At 35.2% G+C, this 13,436-nt stretch overlaps 1 annotated feature.

Annotated features, from left to right (window-relative positions):
• Positions 2,555–2,849: a silencer, noted in NCBI's record as "tiled region #6537; HepG2 Repressive non-DNase unmatched - State 24:Quies". NCBI's record gives its function as "represses a minimal TATA promoter and a strong SV40 promoter by Sharpr-MPRA in HepG2 cells {active_cell/tissue: HepG2}" and the evidence as "EXISTENCE:reporter gene assay evidence [ECO:0000049][PMID:27701403]".

The raw sequence follows: 13,436 nt of genomic DNA, 5'->3' as shown, positions 1-13,436 counted from the left end.
AATTAAAATAACTCTAGATTACTCTCAAGGAATTTTTAAGATAATGAGTATATATTGGTGGAAAAATTTCTAAATATACAAATGTACAGATTTATACCGTTCTCATAGTTGTTTCATGGTATTTCTTTAATATCCTTTTAATATCCATGGGATCTGTAGCGATGCTCCCTCTTTCATTTCTAAGATTACTAATCTGTGACTTCTGTCTTTTTTTCTTAGTTAGCCTAGCCAGAGGCTTATTAATTTTATTGATCTTTTCAATGAACTAGCTTTTGATTTCATTGATTTTTGTCTATTTTCTTGTTTTCAATTTCATTAATTTCTGCTTTAATTTTTATTTTTTCTTTCTTTGTGTTTTCTTTAGGTTTAACTTGCTCCTCTTTTTCTACATATTCAATACTTTAAAATATTATGTAGACATATGTATTTTACTCTCTATTGTAGAAAGTACCTTCAATTATAAACCGATTGTGCTACAGGTTTAAGAAAACCATTATTCATTGAATGAGTATCATATGCCTTTCACTGCATTGAAATTTGATTTATATTATTTTATTGACTCCCCATAACAATCCTATAAGGCTACATGTTATTATCCTTATTTTATTAATGAAAAAACTAGGCTCAGAGAATTTGTCTAACAACTATGACAGAAGATGTAGGAAATTAACTCATCTTTGTCATAAAAGGCTATTTTACAGTGAAATTATCTATTTATATGGCTTTGTATAGTATATAAGGTAAGCTTTATAATGTCTTATTTAAATAAGTACTATATAAACTGCTAGACATATTAGATTATGGTCCAATCATTTTTGCTAACATATTGCAAACATATTATATGCCAGATATATACTAATTCATGCCATTTCCACAACAGCCCTATGAGGTTAGTTATCCTATTTTTACAATCAATCAGAAGGAGGCCCAAAGAAAGACTAAATAATTTGCTTAATGTCTGCAGCTTTTAAACAGTAGAATTTATAATCAAACACAAACAGTTAGGATGTAGAACCTCTGCTCTTGGCCACTAAGCTATCTAATTATTTCAGCAACAGTATATTCCAAATATATTGAAGATAACAGGAAGCATTTGCATTATGTACAAATATGTATGCAAACTGAATAATTTAAAATAGAAAATAATCTGAATTCTTCTAAAGCCATCCAAAGTTCTTAAATAGATCTCATCCAATGTATCAATGTAATAACCAGAATATTTACAAAGATAGGGACCATCAAAATAAAGACAAAAAAATGAAGAGGAGCAAATTTTTAACCATCTCTTTCCATTAATATATTTGATTACAATTATGCAGAGAAAATAAAAACAGATATTTTGAGGAAACAGAAGATAACCTAATTACCTTATAACTAATAGAACAACTAATTTAGAAAATTGACTCTTTAATAAATGGACATATTTCTTTTTTAAAGATCACTTGTAAGTTTATGGTGCTTACTATTTTGCAACTTGATTTTTAAATAGCTCATTTAAACTCAGAATTACCATTAACATGTGAACTACAAAAAGCATTTCTAAAATAAAAATAGCATTTGGAGCACATCTGTTCCAATGATATGTTTTAAAGAAATTTGCATGTATTGGGATCTGATGGCTTGTTTGTGTGTTGCTTTAAGAAGGTGCTCTGCATGATTCACAATTAGACTGCGTATCAGGAGAGATGGGTGTTGCCATGGTAAGTACACATTTTTTGATTGAATAGGAAACTAATAGGCACATAAAACCCACGTAAATTATTGGCACATAAATTGCCTCTCCTGAGGCTACAAATAAACATACTTCTCTTTGGAAATATTTTGCTATTTTTTCTTGGGCTTTGTTTAGATGGTAGACTCATGCATCTCCTTTTGCAGCCTGAAGCCTCGTTTCCTTAAACCCAGTCTTTCTCACCTCCCTTCACTGATGAGCAGCAGTTTTCTGAGTACAAGGAAGAACTACTTTGTACACAAAGAATGCTTTAAGATGTTAAATATCATGAAAATCATGATCTGATTCTTAATAAATATCTGGAATCTTTGCATCTAAAACGTCATGGGAAAATGGTATTAAATATGACTCAAGAAATCCCTCACAATTTGATTCTAGAGTTCCCCATAAAACAGGGATTGTTACATAAAGTGAATAAAAAGGAATACTTTCTGCTTGTACTAGAGAAAGATTATTTGTAAATGTGCATGCTCAAAACCTCCCTGTTCTCTCAGACGTCTGTTGTTCAGTCTTCTCTCCTCAGCCTTTCTCTTCTTCCTTACACCCTACCCCCAGCTCACCCAGTTCAACTTATTCATATCCTGTATTGACAAAGCAGTAAAAGCTTTTGTCTCTTTATTTTTTTCTCTACTTGCATATTTTGGACTCACATGCTTTTATTCATCCTTTGCTTCACAAAGGAAGCTCTTTTCATGGCATTTTGTGGGTTATATAGCAATTTGTAGGATGTGCTCTGCCTCCTTTTTCCATTTGGAAGATTTTTTTTTTTCTGGTTTTACTTTAATCACTACGAAGCATGTGGAGAGGACAGTCATTTGTACTCATATCCAAGTTATTTTTAGAAGCACATTGACAAATTTTTAAGTAGACATTGTATTTTACAAAGAATGCTGTTCTGAGATCATTTTGGCTTGAACAATAAGAAAATTCAAGACTACAGGAGGCAAGCACAACAGGATATCCATAAGTAACAACGCCTACTTATCAACTAGGGGAGCTTAACAGACTTGTTCCTGACTGTGACAAACAGTGAGCTGAATTTTTAGAAAGGCTGTAAGCAGTGAGTGAACACAAAAGGTAACAGGAAAAGATTTGGTGTAGTGCACCAAGACTGCTTCGTGGTACAAATCAAGAGTGAGTTAGAACAATAGTGACTGATCATTTTCAGCAGCTGCCTCGACTTTTATTCTATTGCCTTGTAGAGTTCACTCACCTTTGTTTTCTTACTTTGATTTCAGAGTTCATTTTTCATGATGTTCATTTTTTATGATGAAAGTGAACCTGTCTTGAAGGAATAGATGAATAGTTTCTAGTGGGTTCAAAGACACCTTCAACAGCTTGGAACAAAAGGAAATTATTATACAGATCAAGGTACTACATGAAAATGTTTTTACAGATTTTAAATAAAATATAAACAGCTGTTGAGAGAAGAATGGCACAGTGACAGTTGTTACCAATCCATTAATAATCTGAACGCAAATTCGATCCTGCTCATTATGTGAAACACACATTCCTCTATAGAGAAAACAGTCAGAGTTAAATGTATAAAAAATGGATTCAACAGCAAATCAGAACAAATATAGAAAAAGGAAATGGTGAATCAAGTCTGAATTTATTATGTAATTTTCTTGAAAACCAAGTAATCAATATGTTCTAGCGATGTAATGAATGGTGCTAATAGTGATAGCCTGCTTTTATTGGTTACCATTCAAAGGACTGTCTGGTAAATGATGAAACACTCCAAGGAACTCTTTCTCCTGTCTTTTTATATTTCCCTTGCTTGCAAAATAGTCTTACTTTCTAATCAGGAACATGCAGTCTTTCTAGATGCTTACTTATTAAAACAGAAAAGGTATTTCTCATGTCTTCTTACATTTCACTCTTCTGATTTGCTATGTGACTTAAAATTATCCTAATGACATATCTTCCAAAAGTCTCAAGGTTTCTTTAAGGTTATGTTTAAAATCTATATGGGTAAAAATAAGTGAGAGATTATAGAAATCTTTGTAAACTCTTATTTAATTGTGAGATATAGAGCTTAAACAGGAAGAGATAATGTTCTACTTTGCATCAGAAAACATAAAATTAGCCAAAAGATTTCACCAAAGCAGCTCCATTACTATCAGTTATGTTTGTATTGATGCCACATGATATAATAGAATACAGGTCATAGAAATATGACTCAGAAAGCCTGCTATAGCTTTTTAAAAGTTGGTGCACATATGTTGATGTCATCTGCTTATAGAATAAAAGGACTATAGTAAACAAGAATGCATAGGGGCAACAGGAATGTCTACCTTTAGAACAACCAAGCTGCCTATTGAATGTTCTTATGTATTTGCTGAATGTAAGGCAATCCTTCCTCCTTCAATGTTTTAGAATGCAGCTATTCTACCACCAGGAAAACATCTGTGTAACTACACTATCTTGATGGGTTTCCTAACAAAGTTGTTCTTAAATTATACTCCCTTGGAACACGATTTGACTTGGCTCAAATGTATTTACTGAAGGCAAAGAACTGTACATTATAAGAATGTTACATGGATACAGTATTTAAAGCTCTTCTCTTTACCTACTGAATAGAAAACAAATTTTATTAGTGACCTTACCAAAATGTTTATATCTTTTTCTATGCTATTTTTTCACTTTTTTCTCTTCTTTCTGATGATATTCAGATTTACATCTTTCTAATATTTTTAATCATTCCACATGGGGGAAAAGTAATAAATAGTTTTTCAACAGAAAATCTCTAAAGTAGTAAAGTACTCTAAAGAGGAAATATTATAAATGGCTCCATTTTGTAAGTAAAATGAATCTGTGATATGTTTAGGGGTGACCTAGTACATAATGGAGGAAGAACCATATTTAATATGTTCATTAGTGGTATTTATTAGCACACTTATGCAAGGAAGAAATGATCATTCAGGAACAACATTTTCATCAGACCAAGTACCCCCTAGAGAGCCTTATTGTCCCTAGGACGTCCAAGCATGAACCATGCTAACATCTGAACAATAGTATTTCTAAATAAAGTAATTAACAGGCATATGTGTTCTCACAATCCAGACATCAAAGGACAAAAATTTCACATCAAAATCAGACAATAAAAACATCAAATAGGAAAAGGCAGCTATTGCTGTCCTAGCAAATCCAGCTGATGCATTTTTAAAATGTAGTTATAAACCGTTAGACTGAGAGTCAATATTTGTTTTATCTCAATGATTTCCATTTCAAATTTTCTCAGTTTACAAGTCAGAGATTATTTTTCTCAATTTTTTATGTTACATGAGCACCCTGGGATTTGAAACTCAAACTGCATTCCTACCTTCTCTTCTCTTGGCCATTGATAAAGATCTGTAATTACAGTCAGGCCAGAGATTGCCTTGATGATGTCAAGAGGCAGAACACAATATCCCCTGACCTTTCCTAGAAACATTACTCTGCTATGCCAGCAGTCAAGTTTTCTTATGTCAGTAAAGCAAAAAGACTGGGCTGGGAGAAATAGAAATAACAAGACTGCTTCTTGCCAACCTGCACAGCACAGCACAGTCAAGCTGCACAACCTTCATTGTGTCCTAGAAGAAAAAAAATTCCTTTACTTGGTAGGTTTGCTCTGTATTCTATGGTTGAATTCCAGTTTGGGCCAAATTCTAGTTCAGAGCTTTTTTTTTTTTTTTTCCAAAGCAAGTAAAGTTGGGTTAACTGATTTTGATTACCAGAGAGCTTTTGTAACTCCTGCTTCCTCCCTAGTTGTCAGAGTCCCCTCCCTCTGTGCATGAAAGGAGGCATGGGCTAGCAGTGCAGGTCATGGCCTCTGGAGATGGATTGCCAAGACCCATTGCCTGCTTCTGCCATTGAACAGGTACATGATCTGGGGCAACTAACTAAGCCTCTTGTGCCTCATTTTTTATAAAATGCAAATGAGTACTGTACTTATACCATATTTTTAAGGATTAAGTAAATTAAAACAGCTAAAAGGCTGAAAGCAGGAACTTGTATACAATAAGTGCTATATGAAAGATGATGATTGCCATTATTATTGTTATTATTTGACATTACACATGTTCTACAATCAATTTGTACAATAGTGGTCCTGAGGTGATGTATATTCTCAGCTTACGAAGATAACAGGATCCTGAAATTTGGCTTACTTAGCATACGTTTCAACATCTTTCTAGTTTTCTTTTCTTTACAATGTAGGCTGGAAAGCTAAAAACAACACCCTATTGACTCCCTTCCAGCTAGGCTGCAGGCCTGTGATCAGTTTCTTCCAATCACATGCACCTGCATAAGGTGGCAGCTGGTCAAAGGGAAATCGGATTTTTTGGACAGCATGGGATATTGGCGTCCAGACAAGTCCAAGGTTCCTAAGTGTGGGTATCAACTTCACAGCTGTTTCCATTAGAAGAGTCCCATGGTGTGGTTGGGCATTTTTTTTTTACTGACATTAAAAACCAAATCTGGTTCTCTGGCCTTCCCTGATGTTTCATAAAACTATCCACTATGCCTTTGTAAAACCTTTTCTGCTTAAACTAGCTGGAACCTACTTTACCATTTGTAATTAGGATGCCTGGCTGCCATATACCATCATTTAAGTTTCATGAAGCAGCATAACTCTTCCTTGTGAATGTGGCTGTGGTGTGGCAAAGTTGTACCTCTCATACAGAGAGGAGGGGGCCATGCTCATGCATGTGACACACTGCTTCAAACAGCTGTCATATAGATGGATCCCTAGAAGTTTTCTCCAATTCCTCAAAGCACTTTTAACTTCAGCCCCAGGGAATTAGGGATATCTGTTCCAGTGATTGCAACACATTCATGGTTCTTCCCTCGGTACTTTATGCTTTTTCTATTATATTCCTTTCACCTTAGGACAGATTAACATGTTCAGTAAACAAATCTAATGTTCAACTTTGTGTCTTTGGAGAACAAAGGAATTTTAGTGTAAACAATGTAGACATTGGTAAGTGGGTAAATTCCAGGTTTAGGGATGGTCCCAAATTTTTCAGACATTTCTGGTTCCATTCCCAAATCTGCCCTTCTTTCAACAGCACTTCAATACCAGGGGAACCAGCCTCCAATATTTCAACATAGGTTCTTTCTATTTTCCCTAAGTGTCGGCCGGTCTGAGAAATAAAGAGAAAGAGTACAAAGAGAGAAATTTTACAGCTGGGCCTCTGGGGGTGTCATCACATATTGGTAGGATTGTGATGGCGACCCCGAGCTGCTAAACCAGCAAGTTTTTATTAGGGATTTTAAAATGGGAGAGGGTGTATGAACAGGGAGTAGGTCACAAGGATCACATGCTTCAAAGAGCAATAAAGATCACAAGGTGAAGGCAAAATTAGAATTACTGATGAGGGTCTATGTCCCAGTGTGCACTCATTGTCTTGATAAACATCTTTACAGGAAACAGGGTTCAAGAGCAGAGAACCGGTCTGACTAGAATTTACCAGGCTGGAATTTCCCTATCCTAGCAAGCCTGAGGGTACTGCAGGAGACCAGGGCATATTTCAATCCTTATGTCAACTGCATAAGACAGACACTCCCAGAGTGGCCGTCTATAGACCTCTCCCTGGGAATGCATTCCTTCCCCAGGGTATCAATTATTAATATTCCTTGCTGGGAAAAGAATTCAGCGATATTTCTCCTACTCACACGTCCTTTTATAGGCTCCCTGCAAGAAGAAAAATATGGCTGTATTCTGCCTGACCCTGCAAGCAGTCAGACCTTATGGTTATCTTCTCTTGTTCCCTGAAAATTGCTGTTATTCTGTTCTTTTTCAGGGTGCACTGATTTCATATTGTTCAAACACACGTTTTACAATCAGATTTCATATTGTTCAAACACGCTTTCTACAATCAATTTGTACAATAGTGGTCCTGAGGTGACACACAATCTCAGCTTACGAAGATAACAGGATTAAGAGATTAAAGTAAAGACAGGCATAAGAAATTATAAGAGTATTATTAGGGAAGTGATAAATGTCCATGAAATCTTCACAATTTATGTTCAGAGATTGCAATAAAGACAGGCGTAAGAAATTATAAAAGTATTAATTTTGGGAACTGATAAATGTCCATGAAATCTTCACAATTTATGTTCTTCTGCCTTGGCTCCAGCCAGTCTCTCCGTTCCAGGTCCCTGACTTCCTGCAACACTTCAAGGCTTATGTTAATAATCCATTCACTTAATCCCTGAAAATTCAAGATTGTTCTCAAGAAATTATAAATCAAAAGTGCCCAGTTAGATAAGGGCAGAGTTGAGAACAAAACAGAGTTGATATGGTTTGAATATACATCCCTGCCAAATCTTATGTTGAATTATAATCCCCAACCCTGGAGGTGGAGCCAGGTGGAGGTGCTTGGTTCATGGGGGCAGATCCTTCATGGCTTGGTGCTGTCCTCAAGATAATGAGTGAGTTTTCACAAGATCTGGTTTTTAAAAGTGTGTAGCACTCTCGTCCATTCTTTTTTGCTCCCCCTCTGCCATGTGAGACGTCTGGTTCTGTGTCACCTTCCACCATGAGTGAAAGCTTCCTGAGGCCTCTCCAGAGGCCAAGCAGATGCTGACATCCTGTTTGTGTAGCCTGTAGCACCATGAGTCTACTAAACCTGTTTTCATTATAAATTATCCAGTGTCAGGTATTTATGGATAGCAATGCAAGAATGGCCTACTGTAATAGGTCTTCTATTTTCTTGTCCAGAACTGTTTTTACTACTCTTCACTGGCAGTCTTAACTAAACTAGAAGTTATTCTCAGTTCAGGTATGATCTGAGTTTAGACTTCCAGGCCTTTTATGTTGCAAAAGGACTAAATTTTAATTGAAGGCTTTTTAACAGACCAGTTATGATCATTAACTAGCTAGTGTACTAGAACTCTTAACATAATACCATGGATAGTAACATAAGTGACAGTTGCCATTCTAGTTAGTCTAATCTAATTAAAACAATAATTTTAAAGATATATTCACTAATATGCATAATAATAATAATAGGACCTAATATTTCAGTATGTATTATATTTACAGGAATTATATTTAATACCAATTGATTCTTGAGAGTCAACTGATAAAACCCTGAGGGCATTTTATTTGTGATTTGCAATGCAAAATTAGAAAGGCTATCTGATGATATGACAATGGATCCAGGCATTTAAAAAGTAGCTTTGTTCCTAAGCATCTCCAAAGTCTTTGGCATTCTGTCTACAGTGCACTTCCTTGGTACCAAACCTTCTTTCTCCGTCCTCTAAAATTTCTCCCACTCTTCAACGGAAGATATTTTCTGCTCCACCTAGTCATTTCACATCACCTCAGCTAGATATGATTGCTTCCGCAATCCTTATTCTCTTAACAACACATACAGAATTTGTCAAATGCTGCTGTATATTGCAATTTGTTGTCTACTTAATTTCACTCCACTATCAGAGCATTAATCAGATCCAAGGAGACACATGCTATCTTGTGCTTTCGTTCTTTGAGTATCTCAGAGTATCTGGGGCTTTTCACAAAGATAATAAATATTTGACAAAGAAAAGGATCACAAACAAGCTCAACTGCCTGCAGGAGGTGGCGGTCAACATGACTGGGTGCCACTAATCTGATACAAGCATATAGGTGAAAGCCACTTGTACTATGAGCAAGCATAAGTCTGCCTGCTCACATTGCCTCCGAAATGCTGTATGGTCTTAATGAAGGCAAGATAAAGCACTTCCAGTGGTCAAGTTAAGCCCTATGCCTACCAGGCATGTCCCTTGAATAAAACACCAGTCAGCCTACTTCTGTACAGTAAAAACCAACTGAGAAAAATATGCCACTCAGAAAAAATTTCCTGAGGATTGAGTTCATTTGTTTTCCCCTCTCAGATGTGAGGAAAGGATGTGTAGAGGTTGTGAGGAGTCAGACTCATTAATCATTAATCCATGATAGGTCTTTTATTGAAAACAAGAGAAACGTTACATTAGATATACTTACATTTTACAAAACGATTTCACTTACATTGTTTAATTTAAACTTCGTAACAAATTAGGGAGTTGGCTGAGCATATAATACAGCCACATTTCTTATGGTTGAGAAAAATCAAGGTTGGAGAGACTCAAGTGTCTTGCCCAAGTTACTGAAAAATAGGTTGTGGTAGAGATGTCACCAAACCCAGAATATTTGATACCTACCCCAGAGCTCTTTGCACAACACTATTCTGCTTAGCACCAGACCTCCGTTATTTTTGGCCCAGGCTCACCAATCAGAAGTGAGAGGCAGTTCTTATGAAAACAGGAATGAGTTCTCTAGGGTTTTGGGTTTTTGTTATGCTTTACACATTTTTTTTGGTTGACATATAAAATTCTGCAAATTATCACATGCTTATTTCCCACGTAATTATTGGCTATTTTCTATTTACCAGTTATATGTGCATGTTTGTAAATGATGGCAATTAGCCTACTTGAGGCTTTATCCACTTTACAGTTTTTATCCTAAATTCAAAGACACAGAAACACAAAAAAACCCACATTCCATAATTTACCTTTTAGAGGGATGTCTAAAATAAACCAGCAGCCAAATTGAAAATTCAGAATTGTAACAGGAACTAATAAAAAATAAAATAATCTATCATACTATCAGCAATGATCAATAGAATTTGTGACATTCGAGGAGTGAGAAGCAGGGGGTTTTCATAGGCTTGGTGGGCTTTAGAAGTTAGTCTGCCATCTCTTTTCTCTTTTTTAATGGACTCATGTAAGCTTTTTGATGTAGGAAATCAGTTATTGTTTTGTTTCCATGTTCACTCTGTCTGGTGAAAGGTTGAATAACAAGCCTCCCAAAGATTTGGCTTGATGGGAGTTGGGAGGAGAGGATCACAGGCCATCGCTGAGGATGGAAGTTTAAATTGTCTTATCTGGAGCTCCAATCTTGATAAGAGAGAGAAAAGGAAAGGACCTGGGTTGGAGAGGGGGCAGGGGGTAGCGGTGATGGAGAGGAGGTGGAAAGGTGAGGGGTATGTGGGGGAGTGTGGGGACAGCTTTGTTCTTCTCAAGGTCTGTAGTGAAATTACTGACAGTGGATATTGGTTATAGGTCATAAAAAAAAATGAGGGATAGTGGGAAAGCTAAGAGAGAAGAGCAGAATAGACTGCTGTTCCGCACAAATTTTCCACCAGGATTCATAATAGTTTCTTCACTCAAAACGTAAATCATTTCATTATGTTAGTTTGCTAGCTCTTGACAATAATATACCTGTCAGTCCTCAAACCTGAATCAAGAAAGAGTAGGAAAATGGAAGAAAAGTGAATATTGCTAGGAACAATTGATCTGTCACTGCTTGCTTAAGTGACCTTGACAATGTAACTAAACCTTTCATAAACCAGCTACAGAATGATATCCAAATGTTTAGTTCTGGATGTGTTAACTGTAACATTTTACTTATATTCTTCTATTGAAATAAGTTGAAAAAATGCTAATGAGAGTTTTCAATGAGTATCTGTGTTACGAGGTGTTACAGTCTCATGTACTTTTGAGGGTTAAAGACCACAGCTACTTAGGAATTTATATTTATAATTTTATCTGAATTCTTATGTTGAAAGAAAACTTATTTTACATTAAAATATTTTTATGATGAAGTACATTAATATCATACCATGGAATCTATTGCAGATTATGGTTCCCAGAGAAAATAAGATGTTTTACTCATGTTTACTTTTGACAATTATTCTCCCATAAGCATTCACAGTATAATGGAAACTACACAAAAAAATACTCTAAAGATTGCCTATCTATATGTAAACACAGTACAATAAATAGAAAAACCATTCTCATAATTACCAGGAAAATATCTCAACTAGGAAAAATATTTCAACCACTTATGGAAAAGAGGTTTTCGAATGCTTATAAGAAAAACATCAAGATTCTTCAAGTTATTTGTCTTATTTACTGGCTAATTCTTGAAATCTCTATTTTACTCTTCCTGCAAAATCAGTTATTGAGTGGTTGGTAGCATCTTATGCTAGTATTTTAAAGGGATAAACAAACACTCATTAAATCATTTATTATAACTTAGATGCTCGAAGCTTGGTTTGAGAAATAAAATGTAACTTAGAAAAGAATAAAAATCAAAAGAATAAAATTGGTTATGCAGATATATATTAATTATCTCTTCATCATTAGTAAATCACATAAAAGTATTTTAGGGGAGAGAGTTATAAAATTTGACCCCAAATGAAAATTGATCCTTGAACAGTTTCCTCTGGGAAAAGTCCCTCTGAGCAGAGAAATAAAGAAGAGTATGACATTAGAGTGTAGTGGGGTAAGATGGAAGAAAGAGAACCTGTTTGGAGACTACGAGAAAGAAAAAGAAGTAAAGTGTTCTAATAGAGGCTGCACTTAAAGAAGGAAGGAGGGAATTCACAGAGGAACACAAACCTAGGAGTTAAAAGAATTACACAGCCAAATGAAGGCAAAAATGAATTAAAAAAGTAAAGGAAAAAGGGAACAGGGAAAAAGAAATTAAAAGAAAAAACAAATTAAAAGAAATTCAAAAGAAAAAATAATTAAAAGAAAAATTTGTGTTGTCTAGTAAGTAGAAAGTATGATGCCATTTTTACCAATTGTAATTTCTAACAAAGAGTTTAGGAATCAAAGTTTGTACATAAAGGTTCCCTTCAGCTATCTCCCTAACATAGCCTCCATGATTAAAATGTTGATGGTTTTTGACAAATCGTATGTTGAGGAATATAAATAAGGATGTACTAGAAAGTTTGTGATATGTAGCGAAAGGAAAGACTCCATTTTAACATTGTGTTCACAGAACATATGCATGTTTGTATTTACTTTGGGGCCAGGAAGAGAGAATGATAGGTTGCATCTTGGAATACTCTTTTACAATTAGGCAAAATAAGAATTCTTGGAAGTAGAGTCCTATGAATTACATGCTTTATTATATCAAAGTTAAACTAAGGTCCTTTGTTGATCCATTTAGCCTACCCTCGAAAGGGAATACAGCTGGAGAATAATATTTTACTAAATCTTACAGCTAATCATCTAATATTTTCCTTTCTGACACTGAAAATCCTTTTGCCACCATCTTGCTTACTTGTGCATCACACACCATTCACATGGTGAGGGAGAAATCCTTGATACACAAACCGTCAACTGATAGCCTTGCTTACAGAAATTTTCCAGGTCTCTGCTGGAAACAAATTGCATTTGGTTCTAAAAATTCTACATAACTACCTGTGTATCACCTTTGGACCTCATCTTTATAGTTCAGCTTGAGGGTTGGCCACATTTTCACTTCCATCTGCTCAACTGTGGAAATAAAAACATGTTCTCTTCTGACTATACCTCTGGATTTGTTTAGCTTAATAAAACAATGATATCCATACTTTGAGGACAAGCCACTTCTAACCCATCAGTTTGACTTCATGATCTTTGAACTTCTCTTGCTATAGAGCTTACATTAAATGTCTGCTAGGAAGCAACGAGTTTCATGTCAAGACCTAATAATTGATTTAACTCTCATAATGCTTTGAGCTTAGAATTTAATTCACGTACATTCCTTTGCAAGACTTACCAGGTGCATAGGATTTATATCGCCCCATAATTCTGATAACAAAACTCCATTTATCAAGGGCACTAATGGTTTATACAGTTTCAAATCAAATTAGCATATCTCCAACCTTATTATTTTTCTGAATACTCAGCAATATTTGATATA

This window comes from Homo sapiens, chromosome 1 (assembly GCF_000001405.40).
Source record: "Homo sapiens chromosome 1, GRCh38.p14 Primary Assembly".
In the NCBI taxonomy this organism is placed as follows: domain Eukaryota; kingdom Metazoa; phylum Chordata; class Mammalia; order Primates; family Hominidae; genus Homo; species Homo sapiens.
This window is presented reverse-complemented; position numbering and strand designations above follow the sequence as displayed.